The sequence below is a fragment of the Homo sapiens genome, chromosome 17, assembly GCF_000001405.40.
Source record: "Homo sapiens chromosome 17, GRCh38.p14 Primary Assembly".
Lineage (NCBI taxonomy): Eukaryota > Metazoa > Chordata > Mammalia > Primates > Hominidae > Homo > Homo sapiens.
The window spans coordinates 77061128-77067842 of NC_000017.11; the positions used below are offsets into that span (position 1 = coordinate 77061128).

The 6715-nt window shown below is 48.4% G+C and overlaps 1 annotated feature.

Annotated features, from left to right (window-relative positions):
* Positions 5660 to 5954: a silencer, noted in NCBI's record as "tiled region #11385; HepG2 Repressive DNase matched - State 12:CtcfO, and K562 Repressive DNase unmatched - State 12:CtcfO". NCBI's record gives its function as "represses a minimal TATA promoter and a strong SV40 promoter by Sharpr-MPRA in HepG2 and K562 cells {active_cell/tissue: HepG2 | K562}" and the evidence as "EXISTENCE:reporter gene assay evidence [ECO:0000049][PMID:27701403]".

Below are 6715 nucleotides of genomic sequence, written 5' to 3' on the forward strand. Positions count from 1 at the left end.
CAACAGCCCTGTGATGGCTGCACCTAAAAGCAATTAATTCTGAATCTAGGGGTAGGGATGGGGCCCAGGCCTTAGGATTTTTTTTTTTTTGAGACGGAGTTTCGCTCTTGTTGACCAGGCTGGAGTCCAGTAGCGTAGTCTCAGCTCAGTGCAATCTCTGCCTCCCAGCTTCAAGCAATTCTCCTGCCTCAGCCTCCCGAGTAGCTGGGATTACAGGCACCCACCACCATGCCCGGCTAATTTTTGTATTTTTAGTAGTGATGGGGTTTCTCCATGTTGGCCAGGCTGGTGTCGAACTGCTGACCTCAAGTGATCTGCCCACCTCGGCCTCCCAAAGTGCTGGGATTACAGGCGTGAGCCACTGTGCCTGGCCCAGGCTTCAGGATTTTTAAGAGCCTCCCAGGTGATCTCAAGGTGCAGCCAAGGTTGAGAACCACTCACAGACAGAATGGGACATCTGGGACCTTAAAATTTCACACTAACATTTAGACACCGAAGTCCATGCAGAGGACATGGAAACCAAATAGAAACTAACAAGAAAGACACGAAAAACGACGGAAGCTGTGAATCAGGGCATAAAGATACAAGATATTGAGATCATACATAAAGAACCAGCGGGCATGGAACCGAGGGAAGGGCTAGCGCCTGTCCCGTGGGCCAGCACTTGCTAAGAGCCTGTTTTGTTCATGACACTCCCAGGAGCTGTGCTGTCTCAGTGAAGAGCATTACTTAGGAAAATCCCATTCTTCCCCCTTGACATCTCAATGACTTGGCTCCTGCCCAAACCCCCTGCTCAGGGTGGCTCTGGCCTTTGTTTTTCTCAGATTTGGTCTAAACAGTGAGGTTCTGGCGCCAGCTCGGACAGGCTCCCAAGGCTGTTCAAGTTTCAGGACGTTGGCAAACCAATTGTTCCATGGGACCATTATTTAAAAATAAATTATGTAAACTTAGAGTTACATCAATTACATAAAAAGATAGTAGATGCTCAAAACATCACTACTAATTATTTTACTACATTTTACTGCTATCTATGCTCTTTTAAAAATTTTAAGTGGGGACAGTTTCATTTTTTTTACTTTATTTTATTTATTTATTTATTTATTGAGATGGAATTTTGCCTTTGTTGCCCAGGCTGGAGTGCAGTGGCACCATCTCGGCTCACTGCAACCTCCGCCTCTCGGGTTCAAGTGATTCTCCTGCCTCAGCCTCCTGAGTAGCTGGGATTACAGGCCTGCGCCACCACGCCCGGCTAATTTTGTATTTTTAGTAGAGACGAGGTTTCTCCATGTTGTTCAGGCTGGTCTCGAACTCCCGACCTCAGGTGATCTGCCCGCCTCAGCCTCCCAAAGTGCTGGATTACAGGCATGAGCCACCATGTCTGGCCTGTTTATTTAGTTTTTGAGACAAGATCTTGCTCTGTTGCCCAGGCTGGAGAGCAGTGGTGGGATCATAGCTCACTGAGGGCTGGGTGTGATGGCTCACGCCCCTAATCCCAGCACTTTGGGAGGCTGAGGCGGGTGGATCATTTGAGGTCAGGAGTTCAAGACCAGCCTGGCCAACATGGTAAAACCCGTCTCTACTAAAAATACAAAAAATTAGCTGGGTAGGGTGCTGCACACCTGTAATCCCAGCTACTGGGGAAGCTGAGGCAGGAGAATGGCTTGAACCTGGAAGGGGGAGGTTGCAGTGAGCTGAGATCACACGACTGCACTCCAGCCTGGGCGACAGAGTGAGACTCCACCTCAAAATAAATAAATAAATAAACAAACACATATATACATACATACATACATACATACATACATACATACATACATACATACATAGCTCCTTGTGGCTTCGAGCTTCCAGACTCCTGCCTGAGCCTCTGGAGTGGCTGCGATTACAGGCTCAAAAGGTCCTCGGCTCCAGCCATCTTGCTTCGGTCAGACCTGCATCAAATCCCAGTCTTTCCCATCCTTTCTCAGTTGGTGACACATTGATGAACTTCCTATATGATCAGGATCCACCAGGGATGGCGCACAGCTGCAATAGAGCAGTATCTGTCAATTGCCATTGAACCCCAAGGCCAACCCTGCCTGTTGAAGTGTGTGTCACTTGGATGCTGGGGAGAAATTGTGCTTTATCTGTAAAGCTGGAACACCTTTCCTCTAAACAGCAAATGATTGTTCACGATACCCAATTATTTCTTTCTAAATAATTATTTTTTTCTAATTTACTTTTGAAGCATAATGTACATACATTGACATGTACATATCTTTTGTTGTTGTTGTTGTTGTTGAGATGGAGTCTCAGGCCGGGCGAGGTGGCTCACGCCTGTAATCCCAGCACTTTGGGAGGCCGAGGCGGGCGGATCACGAGGTCAGGAGATCGAGACCATCCTAGCTAACATGGTGAAACCCTGTCTGTACTAAAAAATACAAAAAATTAGCCGGGCGTGGTGGCGGGCGCCTGTAGTCCCAGCTACTCGGGAGGCTGAGGCAGGAGAATGGCGTGAACCCGGGAGGCAGAGCTTGCAGTGAGCCGAGATTGCGCCACTGCACTCCAGCCTGGGCGACAGAGCCAGACTCCGTCTCAAAAAAAAAAAAAAAAAAAAAAGAATCGCCTGAACCCAGGAGGTAGAGGTTGCAGTGAGCTGAGATCATGCCACTGCATTCCAGCCTAAGGGACAGAATGAAACTCCGTCTTGAAAAAAAAAAAAACCGGGTGCAGTGGCTCACACCTGTAATCCCAGCACTTTGGGAGGCTGAGGCGGGCAGATCACTTAAGGTCAGCAGTTCAAGACCAGTCTGACCAACAAGGTGAAACCGTGTCTCTACTAAAAATACAGAAAATACAAAAATTCGCCAGGTGTGGTGGCATGAGCCTGTAATCCCAGCTACTCAGGAGGCTGAGGCACAAGAATCACCTGAACCCCAGAGGTGGAGGCTGCAGTGAGCCAAGATCGTGCCACTGCACTCCAGCCTGGGCAACAGAGCGAGACTCTGTCTCAAAAAAAAAAAAAAGAAAAAAAAAAGAAACAGGGTCTTGCCGTGTCATCCAGGCTGGAGTGCAGTGATTCAAACATGGCTCATTGCAGCGTCGATCTCCTGGGCTCAAGCAGTATTCCTGTCTCAGCCTCCTGAGTAGCTGGGACTACAGGCACTGACACCACAGCCAGCTAATTTTTTTATTTATATTTTTAGTAGAGATGGGGTCTCGCTGTGTTGCCCAGGCTGACGTTGTACTTTTGGTCTCAAGTGATTCTCCTGCCTTGGCCTTCCAAACTGCTGGGATTACAGGTGTGAGCCACCATGCCTGGCTGGCTTCTAGATTTTGAATCTCTATGTTGGAATTCAAAATAAACTTCGTTTGGCCAAGCAATTATTCTCTGCCTGTCTTCCTCTGGCTCCAGGTTTCAAAGACCCCTGAGGACAGAGAACTTCAAAAGGACCTCTGAATTTTGACCCTCAGGCCTCACCTTGGCACTAAGGCAGAGAGTGACAGGCCCTGAGGGGAGGGCCAGCGATCAGACAGCTTTGTCTAGGACATGGGATTGGAGAAAAGTCATGATATGTGAGTATAGTAATTTCCTGTTGCTACTGTAACAAATTGGCCACAACTTCAGCAGCTTAAAACAACACAAATGTATTAATTAGTTCACAGGTCGGAAGTCCAGGTTGGCTTGGCTAGTTTCTCTGATCCAGGTTTTATAAGGTCAAAGTCAAAGTGTCAGCCAGGCTGGGTTCTTATCAGGAGGTTCTAAGAAGAATCCATTTCCAACACCATCAGTTCCTTGAAGTGGCAGGATGGGGATCCTCTCTGTGCTGGCTGTGAGCCGGGGTCACTCTGTCCTAGACGTAGGCAAGCAAGCCCAGCCGCAAAGAACCCCGCTGCACTTTACTTAAACTACAGCTTCCCAACCCATTTTAGCCATGGAGCTCTTTTTTCACATAACCTCTCTCTCTCTCTCTCTTTTATTTATTTATTTATTTTTTTGAGACAAGGTCTTGCTCTGTCCCCCAGGCTGGAGTGCAGGGGTGTGATCACAGTTCACTGTGGCCTCCCAGGCTCAAGCAATCTTCCTGCTTCAGCCTCCCATGTAGCTGGGACCACAGGCACGCGTCACCACACCCAGCTAATTTTTATATTTTTTGTAGAGATGGGGTCTCGCCATGTTGCACAGGTTGGTCACAAACTCCTGGGCTCAAGCAATCTGCCCTCCTCAGCCTCCCAAAGTGCTGAGATTATAGGCGTGAGCCACCACGCCCAGCCCATAATCTTTTTTTTTTTTTTTTCCAAGATGGAGTCTCGCTCTTGTCGCCCAGGCTGGAGTGCAATGGCACAATCTCAGCTCACTGCAACCTCTGCCTCCCGGGCTCAAGCGATTCTTCTGCCTCAGCCTCCAGAGTAGCTGAGATTACAGGTACCTGCCAGCACGCCTGGCTCATGTTTGTATTTTTAGTAGAGATGTGGTTTTGCCATGTTGGCCAGGCTGGTATTGAACTTCCGACCTCAAGTGATTTGCCTGCCTCGACGTCCTGAAGTGCTGGGATTACAGGTGTAAGCCATTGCGCCCAGCCCATAATCTTTCCTAAGGTTCCGAAAGATATTAATATTTGGGGAAAAGTGAAATGGGAGCTTGTGCAATTTTTGTATCCCTAAAGTTTCATTGCTTCCTCTAAACTCTTTCTCACGACAATTTTAGCTCCCCTTCTCTTGTCCTAAGGTTTGGCTTTTGCACAGCTGGAGGGCATTTCTTGTACAGGGTGGGCTAACCAGGCCCAGGTCCTGCTTCAGCCCTGACTCCAAGGCTCTGATTCGTGACATCATGCAAGTTTCTGAGCCTTTCTGAACTTGGTTTCTTCTTCATTTTGTTTGTTATCTCAAGGGTGGTTGTGAGAACTAAATTGGGCAATGCACGCAAAATGCTTGGCCCATCATTTGCGATTGATAAATGTTACTCATCATTATGGGTTTTTTTTTAAGAACTAAAAAGTCTTCACTAACCTTCCCCTTTGCCTTTTTATCGCTGTCAACATCAGGTACCAAGAGCCTGTGAAGCATCTTACAAGGTGGCTGCAATTTTGGCTCAGGGAAACTAGATGTGGCCAGACTTGCACATAAATGACAATGGATGCTTCTCCCAAAGTTTCCAAAAATCTGGATGAACTAACCCAGAAGGATCCTGTCTGAATAAAGAACACTGCTCCAAGTGACCAGGAGGCCTCGATCTCTTTCTGCACTTATGGAGAGGGAAGGCTGTGCAGAAAGCTGCCCGTGGAAGGGACACACAGGTCCCTAATCTGACCCATAAGCATCCCACCCACCCCAGGGACCCACTGCAACCTGCTGCTGTGGCTCCCCACACACCTCCCTGGGCCTCCTTGACCTGACAGGTGAGCACTGCCTGACCCAGCAGCCTCTGGCCAGGTAGCCCCTGTGGGGAAGAGCTGCAGTTCTGGACAGCTGCCTGCTTCAAAATGGAGAGCCCAGGTGGCCTCCCCAAGGGCACCTTCTTCCTCTTTCTAAGTCAGAGCCAGCTAAGATGAATTTCTCTTGTACATGGTGGGCAAACCAGACCCAGGGCCAGTTTTGGGCTCTGTGTCCAAGACACTGATTTGTGACATCAGGTAAGCCTCTGAACATTTCTGAACTTGGTTTCTTCTTCACGTGAAAGCTCCTGGGCTTTCAAACCTCCATCCTCCCTGAATAGTGACTTTTGCCCCTGCCTTGTCCCTCACAGACACAGCTGGCTGCGGCGTCCTCCCTTTCCCCTCCCAAGGGGGCCGCCCTGCCTCTGCCCACCATGGGCATGTGGCCATTGCCGCTGGTTTAGACTTGGTCCAGCCTCAGTCTTGACTGCCATCTAGTGGCTCCCAGACTCCTGCTGGGATTCAAGTTCTCTGGTGAGAACTAAACTGATTTTTGTATCTTGCCCAAATTCCTAAGGGGTCTGGGAGTCATGACCTATAAATCAAAAATTCTCATCAGATGGGTTTTATTTAACCCTATATATTGTGATTTACTTTCCAACCTGACTCTGGCATAACATTACGAGACAAGGAAGAAAATCAAAATACTTTACCCCAAAACATGTTTCTTTGCCATATCTTGAAATGGCCCTGCAAAGCTGTCCTTTGTGGGGGAAAATTTGCATCTGTAAAGAATCTCTATTAACATAGCTAGCTCTTTTTCTTCCAGGCCCTCCCAATCCGAAACAGATTAACTAAAGCATCTTTTAGGTCCGGCGGGCATGATGGCTCACACCTGTAATCCCAGCACTTTGGGAGACCGAGGCAGGCAGAGCCCTTGAGGTCAGGAGTTCAAGACAAGGCTGGCCAACATGGTGAAACCCCGTCTCTACTAAAAATACAAAAATTAGCTGGACGTGGTGGTGCACGCCTGTAATCCCAGCTACTCAGGAGGCTGAGGCAGGAGAATCGCTTGAACCTGGGAGGTGGAGTTTGCAGTGAGCTGAGATCGCGTCACTGCACTCCAGCCTGGGCAACAGAGACTCCGTCTCAAAAAAACAAAACAAAAAAACCAAACACTATTTGTTAGATTTAGGGCCCACCTTTAGCATGACCTCGTTGTGAACCCAGAAGTACCTGAGAGACATCTCAATCAATTTGGAAAGTTTATTTTGCCAAGGTTAAGGACGCACCCGTGACACAGCCTCAGGGGGTCCTGACAGCATGTGCCCAAGGTGGCTGGGGCACAGCTTGGTTTTACA